Below are 12,693 nucleotides of genomic sequence, written 5' to 3' on the forward strand. Positions count from 1 at the left end.
CGTCATTGTAGTAGGTGAAATAAGCAAAATAACATACATGCTTTTTTCGGTCTTATAGATGAGAAAACAGAGACTTTGAGAAGTGAATTAATTTGCCAAGGTTATCTTGTTATTGAACAACAATGTGAGGCCTTGGTAGTTATCTCTGAAAATCTTCAACTCTCAACACAGCACTTGGCTCATCATAAGAGACCCAATAAAAATCTTTTAAAATACATCTATACAATAAGACAAATAGAGATCATCTCCCTGGCTACTTTATTTACTCAGTACTGAGACAACATTTACTTCCACGCCTCTGAGGTGTTCGAGAGGGATGACAGAGCCTGCAGAATGAGGAAATGACTACCCTGTGGTCGACCACAGCCTCTGATGACCAAAACCCACTTTGTGCAGGCGGTGCTGCGACCAGGCTCGATCTGTCATCGAGAACATTCTGCTCCCAACCTGGCACGGCATGCACTGTGCACACACACCCCACGCTTGGCTTTCCTACCGGGTGGTAAGATGGTTGACCCTGGCAGGTTATCAGTGACATGACAACACCAAGGAAGAAGGGACAGAATTGGCAGCACTGAATTTAAGTAGATTTAAGTAGCCCAGAGGTCCCTGCCTTCAGTTCTGAAACCCAGCAACCCACTTTGTTTGTAATCTGCCTGCCAGATGTCTCTTATCTTTGACACCATGAAATCAGGCCTATATATGCACAGTGAACAGCTCCAGATCTGAGTGTATTTTTAGAACAATGGGACTCAAAAAGAAAACCAGCAATGCCTGTCAAAAGATGGATAATAGGAAAGCTAACTACTTGGGTTTGGATTTGTCAACTATTAATCAAGTGTCAAAAGGAAAAAATATTAGGTGTGTCCTCATTTCCATGCTGGGTGCAATCCAAGGGGGAACAGCTTTGCAGTCCAAGCTCAGCCAAACTGCCCACACCATTTAAGGGGATGAGCTACTAATTTCAAGCTCAGCTGAACTAATGGATCACCTCTGTGGCTCCTCATCCGTTCAAATATAATAGGCTCATGTGTGGGTAAAGAGAGGAGTTGGGGCTCTGACAGGGATGAAATGAATGAGCCTGTGCCGGTCTGTGTTCGTCCAGGGTTTGAAGGCACCAGCTGGTTCTTTGATGGGATGGGATCCTACTGCTAGAAAGAGAGCAGGGAAGTCAGTCTGTAAATGAACCTTCAAACCCGGTCCTGACTTCTGCAAACAGTGGTGGCACAATTAACATGAAAAAGATCCTTTTGAGGTGAAATCCCCAGTTCAGATTTTAGTAAGGATGAAGCAGGCTTACAACTAGAAATTCTGTGGCCAGTGTCTATGTGTATGAGTAACATACACATCATGTATAACATATTTGGGAAATTTACATACATGTACCCCACATAGGTGTGTACACAGATGTAAATATACCTTCAGAACATAAGCAGAGGGTAGAGGCCCCTATCTTGTTCCCTCTAATTCCAGTCCCTAGAACAGTACCTGGAGACTCCTTGGACATACTAACGTGATTCATCCACAAGCACCCTATGAGAATGGAGTTTTCATCACCCCCAGTTTACAGAGGAAGAAAATGAAATGAAGCTAAATCATTTGCTCAAGGTCACATGGCCAGTAAGATCTGAACCTCGGTTTGTCCAAAGCAAGACTGCTACTTTTTCTCTCACACACAATGGCGAGGCAGAGGGAGCTGGAATGGCAACCTCCCCAGCGCCCCATCAGGGGCTACAGCAATAACAGCATCCAGGACTTGCGTGGCCAGAAGGTACACCAGCTGGTCACCACCTGCTGGCACCCTGCATCCCTATCTGGGCTCTGGGGTTAGCAGGTGGGAGTAGGACTGGGGGTGGAGGCCAAGCATCCTAAAAGCTTTATTTTTCTATTATGAGACTTGTTGGGCACTGACTTCATCTTCTTCTTTTTTTTTTGAAACAGGGTCTCACTCTGTTGCCCAGGCTGGAGTGCAGTGGTGTGATCACGGCTCACTATGGCCTTAACCTTCCAAGGCTCAGGTGATCCTCCTGCCTCAGCTTCCCAAGTAGCTGGGACAACAGGTGCACACCACCACGCCTGGCTAATTTTTATATGTTCAGTAGAGACAGGGTTTCGCTATGTTGCCCAGGCTGGCCTGGAGCTCCTGAGCCCAGGTGATTCTCCCACCTCAGCTTCCCAAAGTGCTGGGATTACAAGCGTGAGCCACAGCACACGGCCTGACTTCATCTTTTCAAAAATTTGAAAAGTATTGTCTAGTTTTGTTTCCTTTTAGCCCAGGGTAAAAGGCTCATTGGATGATATAAAACCTCACTGCAAAAGCCAGGGAGTCTCAGAGTCTGCTAAGAGATTGGCCCAAGGAGTATGGTTTTAATGGAGTTCAACTAGGCTAAGTACATGTATGGACTTGAAGGACAAACAGAAATTTGGGGTGTATGCTCTCTTTTCAAATTCCTTTCACGTACAGGAGGCAAAAGCTACCTGGACAGAAAGGCACAGAACTGTGAAGGCCCAGGGCATGCCGGGAGACATCCTGGAGACTGAGAATTTCAATCAGCAAAGTTTGCCACTGCAGTTGGCTGAGATGGGGGTGTGGCTGATCTGACCTGTTGTCTGTAATCCAACGCCTACCCTCAGGGACACTGTCTTATTTTTAGCTCCTGGTATGCTAAGCCCTCCTCCCACACCACAAATATGATTTGCACATTTGTTATCCATTGAAGTTACTTAACTAGAGGGACTTTGGGGGAGCTGGCTTTTTTTTTTTTTTTTTGCATTGCCAGTTAACAGTGACACCTGGTGGTAACACACAGCAAGGTCACATCCTGCCCCCACCATCCCCTGCCCCTCCCCCATGCCTCCCCCAGTTGGAAGATTTATGCCCCCTCCATACAAGGCACATTTGCTAGATAAAAGCATTAAACTGGAATGGCATCTCCGTTCTTAGCATTTACAACCTCGGTTACATCAACCACCCCCTGATCAATGTCCATTTCTAGAGTTTACTGCCTGGATGTAAAAGCCTGCCACAAAGGCTATATTTAATATGGCAAATTAAAAAAGCAAACACTGGTTTGGTCATTCTTTGGAGCCAGGAAAAGCAAATGGGAGCAAGGAAAAACCCAAGCATGATGCACATAAAGATGAACTCTCATGGGGCTGCTAAGTCTGCCTCCACCCCAACTCGATGAAGGCGCCCCTTGGAGGTCCTAAGCCCACCTGCCAGAGGGGCCCACAGACATGGCTGTTCTACAGGGCTGGTGCACATCCCTCTCCTTCCAGAAGACAGGAGGCCTGGGAGCAGCCTCCTGCCCTGAGAGCTTCCCTCACCAGCCCTCTGGCAGACAGGAGAGCCACTTCCAAAGCAAGCTGGTCATCTGCCTAGGGTCGGAAACTCACTACCTCTGGCTTTTCTGAATACTAAGCCAAGGTTCCCACTTGGGCCCTTGCAACGAACACAGCTTTCTCTTCTCCCATGAGGGTAAGTGTGTGTAAGTGTGTCACTCTGACTGCAGTATGGAGAATACCTAGAGGGGCAGGACTGGAAGTGGGACCAGTGGTGAGGTCTGTTGTTCTGGTGGGAGATGATGGTGGCCTGGCCTGGCCTAGTGGTTTGGAGGTGTCGTTTTGAGAGCAATTTTCCAAGTGAGGTAGGCGGGCTTTACTTTTGGTCATGGATGTAGGGTGTGAAGGAAAGAGAAGAATTAAGAACAAACAACAGGATGGATGGCAGGGCCATGTGCTGAGATGGGACTCCATCTCATGCAGGGGACTTGGTTCCTCAGTACTAGTAGGTATGACAGACTGCACTCTGTCACCTAGGCTGGAGTACAGTGGTGCGGTCTTGGCTCACTGCAACATCCGCCTCCCAGGTTCAAGTGATGCTCCTGCCTCAGCTTCCCAATTAGCTGGAATTACAGGTTCCTGCCACCATGCCCAGCTAACTTTTTGTATTTTTAGTAGAGACAGGGTTTCATCATGTTGGCCAGGCTGGTCTTGAACTCCTGACCTCGTGATCTGCCTGCCTCAGACTCCCAAAGCGCTGGGATAACAGGCGTAAGCCACCCACCGCACCCAGCTGCCAGGTATGACTTTTCCATACTAAGTGGCCCACCCACCCACCCCTCTCTCCATGCGGTAATGAGGCTCACAGAGAGACCAGGTTTCCTATTGTCTCAGGCTTCTTCTCCCACTTAGAGAGCTTATTAATTTCAGCATCAAGATGCCAAATCAGCTCTTGATCAAGGATCAAGACTGATTTTTTTTCCCAACTTCAAGATAAGTTTGCAAGTGACATGTGTGAAGCAATCCACCTAGCTCTTCCTCCCCCTCCCTGCCCATCAGGAGGGAGGCCATCTGACTCAACACTTGAACGGAATGTGCTGGAGCAAACAAAGGGAGCTGCGGTCAAGTGGTGGGGCTGCGTGTTCCTCCACCTGAGGCTCCCTGAACACCAGCTCAAGATTCAGCAAGGTCCAATTCCGGGTTTAATTGCTTTCAGCAGCAAAAAAGAGAACTAGAAATGAAAAGATAATGAATTGAGAATATTAGCTTATTTGATGGTTCTAAACTTGAAGGATGGGATGGAGTGGGTGTAGGAAAAATAGAATGGATGGGGAATGTGAAAATCAGACCTTTAACTCTTGGTTGTAATAGGCATCTAAAAGGATTTACTTCAAGATAAACTCATTATGTTCTTGAGTTGCACTTTAAGTCACAGCACAATCAGCTCCAGGGGCACCGCCCAGGGAGGACTATTTTCACCCTAAATTGATTCTGTACGGAATAAAAATGCCTGGGGACAGAAGCTGCTTAGGATGCGCCCCTGTGCTCATGAAACTATGACTGATTCTGGGACTAAGGGATGTGACGGGAAAGGGACAGGAAGAAAAAAGGAAATGGGAAATCAAGAGCAAAAAACAGCAAAGGACAATAAATCAATTCAAGAAGATATTACCATCACTCCCAGGGAGTGCAAGGTTTCTAAGGAGCAAGCTGGCTCTCCTCACTGCACAGTCAGAGCAGCCTTTCCACTCCTCAGGGAATGAGTTGACTCCTAACTCCCACCCCACTGAAGAGGATCAGAGATGTGCCTCTAGAAGCTAGGAAGATGCAGGGATTCCGCTGCAGGCGTGAAGCTGGTGAGGCTGAAGGAGCTGCAGGGCTCAGAGCGGCACAGAGTGCCAGGCCCAGCTTTCGCCCCAGCAGCAGACCTACCCTGGGATGGCAGTTCCAGGATGCAGGCTGCTCCCACCTGGAAGGAAAGCTTGGAGAAGAGGGGCAGAGTAGATTTGGGGTCTCATGTCTGGGGAATGCTGTTGTGCTGAGTTTTAGCTCTTAGTCCTAAAGTAACCAGCAACAGCTTCTTCTCCTAGAGGTGATACAGCTTTTCTCAAATAAGCATGGTCAAACTCTTAGAAATTGGAATCATCTAGTTTCAGAATCAGAAAAGGCCCTTTAAGCCATTAGTCTGGCAACTCTTAAGGTTCTTCGGGTCACAGATTCCTATTAGAACCTATGAATGGTTCCTATTAGAAAAAGGCACATGTGCACCTGCCTGCACACAAACAATTTTGCTTTGCACTTGTGAGGGTTCATGGCACCGATGCCCATCTAAGACCTGCCGTGGAGTCGACATATGCCATATCAGGAACCCAGCACTTTCACTTTGCTGTTGAAGAAGCCAAGGCATGAAGAAGTGCCAGGCACCTGGTCTCCAGGCCTAGAAGCAGATTCCCCTCCAACCAGGAGGGTGCTGAGTCCTCTCTAGCACACCGTCTTTCTGCTTCTTGACCCTCTGGAATTGTTGCTGACTTTGCAGCAGAGGAAAAGGTTACTGGCAAAGAGAAACACATCTAGTAAAAATACCATCTCTAGTGCTGGCACAGTTAAAGAATTATCTTAACCTGGCAGGGTGACAGAGAAAAGAGCAGAGATGCCTCAACTCTGCTTGCCATTAGCAAATCATCTGTAATTTAGAACAAACGTAAAGGGATGCGGGTGATCAGGCAGACGTACCTCCTGGCAGCCTCTTGTAATTTCACGGGCTGTTTGACACTGAGGTAAATCAAGCAGGCATCAGCCACTTTATTCAGGTCACCCTCACCTGCAGAAAAGAAAAACAAAACAAGCATCAGCCCTTACACTTCATTTGGGACAAGCAGTGACCAACTGTGTCTGGAGAAACTGCAACAGCTAGGCAAGATGCTCTGGGCTCTCTACTCCATCCCGCCAAAGAACACATCAAGATAAATGGACAAATGAGGCCAAAATAAGACGGAAGGAGGTACACAGAGGGGAGGGGAGGGGGGCACGACTGAGCAGAGGGCATGATGGCAGGGGTGAGACAGATGCTAAGTGTGTGTGTTCAGGTGGAACTGCCTGGTACCCACCTAGGTCCAGTCTCTCACAGAGGGGGCCCAGGCCCTGTAAGACAGCCAGCTGCAACTTGAAGGCCAGCGTGTGCGAGTAAACTGGTCCAGCCCTGGCACTGATGGGGGCCTGGGTGACTAGGGAGCCAGCCAGCTTTGGCAGGACATCTTTGCAGAACCGGCTGCGAAGAAAGTCACCACACTTGCTTCCCAGGGTACGTAAAACCTGCAGAAACAGCCTCCAACCTGGTGAGTGAACATTGCCAAGGCAGCAAGAGAGCTAAAGAATGCTTGGTAATTCGATTTCATCTAGGTCTCTGCTTGGGGGAAAAAAAAAATAGAATTACTGCTGTTAATTCCTTGCCCATGGTTTGTGATTCTGACAGTTATGAATTTGGAGGTCTCTGCTCCCAAGGCATGGCTGCTTCTACCCATAAATACAGATTACATGGGGAATAATTCAAAGGAATCTTGGGTTGGATGAATAATATGATTAATATCTTGATTTCCCTCCCATTTTTGTTAAAAAAAAAAAAAAGAGAAGAGCTTAAAGCAGTTCACATAGATCATTTCTTGAATCTTCCTAACATCCCTTGAGAAAATATGTATGCTTTAAACTCTAGCTAGCTGAGCAAACACAAATACTATGGTCCAGCTGCTGCCACATGCAGGCATCAGGAGGTTAGTGACTGGGCCGAGGTCCCTGGGCTGAACCAAGGCAGGGTCCCTGAAGTTGCAGCCGACTCGGTGTTCCTTCTGTTCAGCTGCACAATCTCTTATGCACATCACCCTCATTCTATCTTTCAGAACAGATAGTTTCTTTGCATGTCTTGTTTTAAACTTTCTCTAGCAGAACATATTGAAATGTTTTGCCCTGCTGCACAAGACTGAGTATACAGGATAATAGGAATTTCTTTAAAAATTGGTAAGCAAGGCATAACCAGCACAGTGTTTGCTCATTTTGCAGAGAACAAGGCTCTCATTTTAGGTCCCTCAGCTGAATGGCACAGCTTCTATAGACCTCAGTGTCATCATCGTGTCTGCGCATGGGGAAAGCAGCCTCAGTTATTGTGTACACATCTTTATTTTTTTTCATTTTTCTATGCTTGCTGTTATTTCAGACAACCTATTAATTCTCACCAAACCCCGCCCTGCAGTACATCTGGATAAGATTTAGCAATACCACCTCCCTCTCCCTTAATCTCTTTCTTTTTTCGAGATGGAGTCTCACTCTGTCGCACAGGCTGGATGGAGTGCAGTGGCACGATCTTGGCTCACTGCAACCTCTGAAGCCCGAGTTCAAGCAATTCTCCTGCCTCAGCCTCCTGAGTAGCTGGGATTATAGGCGCCTGCCACTGCGCCCAGGTAATTTTTGTATTTTTAGTGGAGACAGGGTTTCACCATCTTGGCCAGGCTGGTTTTGAACTCCTGACCTTGTGATCCACCTGCCTCCGCCTCCCAAAGTGCTGGGATTACAGGCATGAGCCACCGCGACTGGCCTAATCTCCCTCTTTCTTTGGCACACATACATACACACACACACGTATCATTTTGTGCATTTTGTTTTGGGAAAAAAACATTAACAATTTTTAATATTTTAATTTGGTCTAGTATATGCTGAAGAATTTACAGAAGATCAAACTACTTTGGCCAACGGTATCTGGTGCATTACCAGCTTCATTTTGTGTCCCTACAGATCTTTTCTCTCTGCCTCATCTTGCGCACCTTCTTCTAATTTATGGCAGCTCGCTGTGGTATGTATCTCTGCAGGTTGCCTTAAGGGCTTTTTAGAACAAGAAAGGATATAAATAAGCTAAAATATCCGTGCTAATGTAAGCCAAACTAAGCCAGGGAGAATAATACCTTACATATATATAGGACTGTTAGCTTTTCAAAGCATTTCACCAAACAGTCCCATTTTATCCCTGACAACACTATGAGAAAGGTGGGCTAGGTGTTCCTAAGCCCAACACGAAAATGGGTGGTCCTGGGTTTTGTCAGCATCACTCAGCTGGGCAGAGGATGCCCACTGCTAGAACCTCAGCCCCTTCGCCTTGACTCCTGTGCAGTGCAAATATGGTGTGAACTCAATGCTCTGGGTTTGTATCACTTACTAGCTGTTCGATTGTGAGAAAATTCCTTAACTTCTCTGAGCTTCTTTCTTCCTCTGCCAAAAGTAAAGACAATATACCTACCTTGCAAAGTGGTTGTAAGGAGACAAACTCCTTTGTGGAGGAGTGCTGAGCTTACTGCCTGGCCTTTTCATCTACTAGTTCATCTGCTTCAAGTTCAAAAGGAGACTGTTACTTTCTTCTTTGTGCTTTTCTTATGTTTCTATACTTTCTTCACAGTATGTGACATTGCAATCGGGTGAAGAGAACCAATCCAAAAGGCCCCGGTGAGCTCTGTGCCTACTAACTCTACCCTCACAACAGACCATGGGGGATGCTGGTGCAGTACCTTGAAGGCTCTAAGCACTGCCAGGGGGGCGTCCCGTGTGAGTCGGTGAACGAGCGAGGGCCAGGCCTGATGAGCCAAGGGAAGCAGCTGGTTTTTGTGGGACTGAAGAACAACCACACACAGATCCAGCACATCCAAGACCTGAAAGAGACACGATTTCAGCAGATGGTATAGGCTTGAAAACAGATACCTGGGATCAAGTCACCATTTTCAAAGAATAACATTTAGAAACGTATTAATTGGATAATTGTTTTCTGAGTGCTGACTACATGCCAAGCACTAGCTAGGTACTGAGGGGACACACAGAGACAAAATACACGTTTCCTTGCCTTTGCAGGGTTCATGGTCAGCTGGGGAAAGACCTTAATTAGATAACGCCTAAATGAAGAGATGATTAGCAATTGGGACAAGAAGGGAAGTCAAAGGTGAAATGCAAAGAAACGAGGGGAAGGATCTAAACCACAGACTGTTGGGAAGGCTTCGCTGGGGAAGGAGCTTCTAAAAGAAGACACAAAGGATGAGTAGGAGTTAGTTCTGTGAAGATTCATGCAACTGGAAACCGTGATGAGGAAGACTCAGAGGTGGAACAGAGCTTTCATAAGAAGTGAAAGAAGGGCAGCGTGGAGCATTACAGAGAAGAGGTAAAACGGGGCCCAACTACAAAGGGGTTTGTTAGGAATTTTTTTTATTTTGTACTAAGTGCAGTGGGGAGCCGTCAAAGTGTTTTAAGCAGGAAAGTGACATGATACAATTCATGTTTTAGAAAGGTCATTCTGGCTGCTGAGTGGAGAAGAGACTTGAAGGGTGACAGAGAAACAAAGAGGCCCTTTAGGATCCACATGAGAGGAGCAAAGTGATGTGGCCGCGTGATGGCGGCAGAGGAGAGAAGTGAAAGGACTGGATATCTGTTTTGGAGATGACGTGGCTTAAATTGCTGAAGGACTGGATACTGGGGAGGGGAAGTGAGGGTTTGAAAAGAGCTGCTTCGTTTCAGGGGTAGCAACTGAAGAGATGCAGATGCCACTGAATGAGATGGGGAGCACGCGGGAGGAGAAAGTTGGGCGGCTAGGGGAGACCAAGTTCTGTTACCACTACATGGAGAGGCCCAGCAGGCAGCTGAGGTACAGGTTAATCTCACCAGAAAGGGTTAGGCTACCCTACATATAAACTGATATTTTACCTTCCTTGTTTCCTGATCTCTTATATCTCAAACTCACTGAAAAGAGACTGCCTGCATCAGTGTCACAGGCAGCGGTCAGTACGACGGCCAGCGCAGGCTTCCCTCCCGCGTGGGCGGCCAGCGCAGGCTTCCCTCCCACATGGACGCCCAACCTTCACAGGGCGAGGCACTCGTTAGTCTGCAAGACAGAGAGAAGCCGGCCAACACAAAGCAGTAAACCCTACTGGGCGCCTACTATGTGCTGGTCCACACTGAGACTGGAACAGAAGAGACCCTGCCATTGAGGGGTGAATAATTAGGCCAGGGAGTAAGAGAAAGCTCAGCTGCACAGTGGGGAGCAGGGGATCAGGGGAGCAGAGTGGAAATGGCTTTGGTATCACTGACAGGCTTGGAATTTGAGCTCTGTCATTAATGGGACAAGTTACATTATATTTCATTGACTCAAAGATGTACATTTCCCCTCTGCCTGGAATGTTCTCCTTGCCCCTTTGCAGGGCTGCCTCCTTCTCAGCCTTGAGAAATGTTACCACCTCAGAGAGGCCTTCCCCGATGACCTAGGCTAAATCAGAAGGTAAGCTCTGTCTTAGTCAGCAGGGTTTTGCACCGAGTAGGTACCCAACACGTATCTGCCGCATGGGTGAATTACTATTTTCTATCAAATAGAACGTGCTATTACCTTGACAGCCTTTCTCCAATATGTATGAGTCTGTGTATTGCCTCTCTCCCCACAAAAGACAGGGAGTTCCATGAAGACAGGGATTGTGTCTGCATCATCCCCTCTACACATCCTCTGCCTGACCTGCACTAGTCCTCAATAAGCATTTAGCACATGAATGAGTGTATGTGTCTTATTTCATGCTGTTTTATATTTATAATCAACAACCCTGTGAGGTAGGTACCATCATCTTCATTTTACTGATGAAGATGCTAAGGCTCAACATGATGAATTAACTTACTCAAGGTCACATGGCTAATAAGAGGCAGAAACAGGATTTGGACTGACTCAGATATGTAGGTCTGACTCCAACACTGATGTTCTTAATAATTATGGTATGTATACAGCTGCTACAAATCCTCTACAAAAAGGAAGGTCTTGAAGGATATACAGCAGTATGTTGAATGTATCAGCCAGGCACCTACATTAAAGCCGTGCAGGTAAAAAGGTAAGTGCTTGCTGAATGGAACAACAGATGAATGCTAAGAGCTGTCTTGGGAAGACTAAACAAACTCCACACAACACAGGCGCTGAGATTTGAGATAATCTGTGGATCAGGGTTTCCTAGCCCATCACCCCTGAGCAAGGCAATGTACACTCATTACTAACAGTGAGTCACTAAGGCAGTTGTGTTTCTCTCTCTTTTTTTTTTTGAGATAAAGTTTCACTCTTGTTACTCAGGCTGGAGTGCAATGGCACGATCTTGGCTCACCACAACCTCTGCCTCCTGGGTTCAAGCGATTCTCCTGCCTCGGCCTCCCAAGTAGCCGGGATAACAGGCATGCACCACCATGCCCGGTTAATTTTGTGTTTTTAGTAGAGATGGGGTTTCTCCATGTTGGTAAGGCTGGTCTCAAACTCCCAACTCAGGTGATCCGCCCACCTCAGCTTCCCAAAGTGCTGGGATTACAGGCGTGAGCCACCGCGCCTGGCCGACAGTTGTATTTCTCACTCCTGCTTGGGGGTAGAGAGGAATGCTGTCTCCCTTTGGGTGTAAGGTCTTCTCCAGGGTGATTCTAAAAGCCCTGCCCCCCACTTCTACCCCACCCCACTGCATCCTGTTATTGCAGTCACTACTACATGCTTTCAGCCCTTGCTGATGGGGGTGCTGCTTGGCAAACTGCCAGCAAGCCAGTCTATATTAGGAAGTGTTCAAGTTTTCCCTAGAATGAAAACAGAGAGATAAGGGCTAGTGTCAGGCTTGGAAGAATGATCTCATTAAAGTATTAAAACCTGCATCCTACATAGCTGAGAAAATAATATCCTTTCCAAAGCACATGGCTTTCTTTTCCTTGGAAATTCAGTGAATCCCCAAAACTTGTGGTTTTTAATGCAGGAGACTCAGCTCCCTTTGGCATCTCAGCAGACACAGAAAGATGTAAAACTGTCACCCCACAGACAAATTCCTTTTGATGCCTTCTCTTGGCCACCACACGTGGACCAGGAGATAAGGGGAGCTACGTGCTCATCCGTGTAGCCACTGCCAACCAGGCCACACCTTAGTCCTGCTACTCTGGGAATGCAGAGAAGCAGCTGCGCACTGACCTTCAGGCGGATTTGCAGATTTTTATCTGACAACAAGTGGATGCAGCGTTCCATCACGTCCATGGCTATTTGGATCTGCAATGGCAGTGGTGGCTCCACATCTGGACGGGTGTCATTCTCATCCACTTTGGGAGGGACTGACTGTTCCTCTGGAAAAAGAGCACAACTGGGGGCAGTGTTGTATGAGTGATAAAACAGAGATACCTAAATTTCTGTTCTTTATAAATTACTCAGTCTTAGGTATTTGGTTACAGCAGCACAAATGGACTGAGACACCTCCACTCAAGGGGGAATAGGTACAGAAACCATGATATAGCCATATAATGGCATTTTATGAGGTCCCTATTTTTTTTAGGCACAGGGCCTTGCTCTGTCCAAGCTGGAGTACAGTGGTGTGAACACGGCTCACTGCAATCTCAAACTTA

The 12,693-nt window shown here is 47.0% G+C and overlaps 1 protein-coding gene across 11 annotated transcripts in view, besides 1 other annotated feature; it reads right to left on the reverse strand.

Moving 5' to 3' along the window:
• Positions 1 to 12,693, reverse strand: part of TTI1 (TELO2 interacting protein 1) — a 50,436-nt gene that overhangs the window by 7,339 nt on the left and 30,404 nt on the right. For 4 of the 11 annotated variants that reach the window (NM_001303457.2, NM_014657.3, XM_047440606.1 and 1 more), the window contains 4 exons: positions 12,269 to 12,417; positions 8,829 to 8,969; positions 6,390 to 6,594; positions 6,016 to 6,103 (listed from right to left, as the gene is read on the reverse strand). In NM_001303457.2, coding sequence (NP_001290386.1) covers positions 6,016 to 6,103; positions 6,390 to 6,594; positions 8,829 to 8,969; positions 12,269 to 12,417 — 583 coding nt within the window. Of the gene's footprint in view, positions 1 to 6,015; positions 6,104 to 6,389; positions 6,595 to 8,828; positions 8,970 to 12,268; positions 12,435 to 12,693 lie in introns of those variants that run through there. The other 7 variants (XR_001754440.3, XR_007067483.1, XM_011529114.3 and 4 more) reach the window with 6 other exon arrangements.
• Positions 226 to 305: an enhancer, noted in NCBI's record as "active region_17853". NCBI's record gives its function as "activates an Ori minimal core promoter by ATAC-STARR-seq in GM12878 lymphoblastoid cells {active_cell/tissue: GM12878}" and the evidence as "EXISTENCE:reporter gene assay evidence [ECO:0000049][PMID:35858748]".

Source organism: Homo sapiens, chromosome 20 (assembly GCF_000001405.40).
Source record: "Homo sapiens chromosome 20, GRCh38.p14 Primary Assembly".
Taxonomy (NCBI): domain Eukaryota; kingdom Metazoa; phylum Chordata; class Mammalia; order Primates; family Hominidae; genus Homo; species Homo sapiens.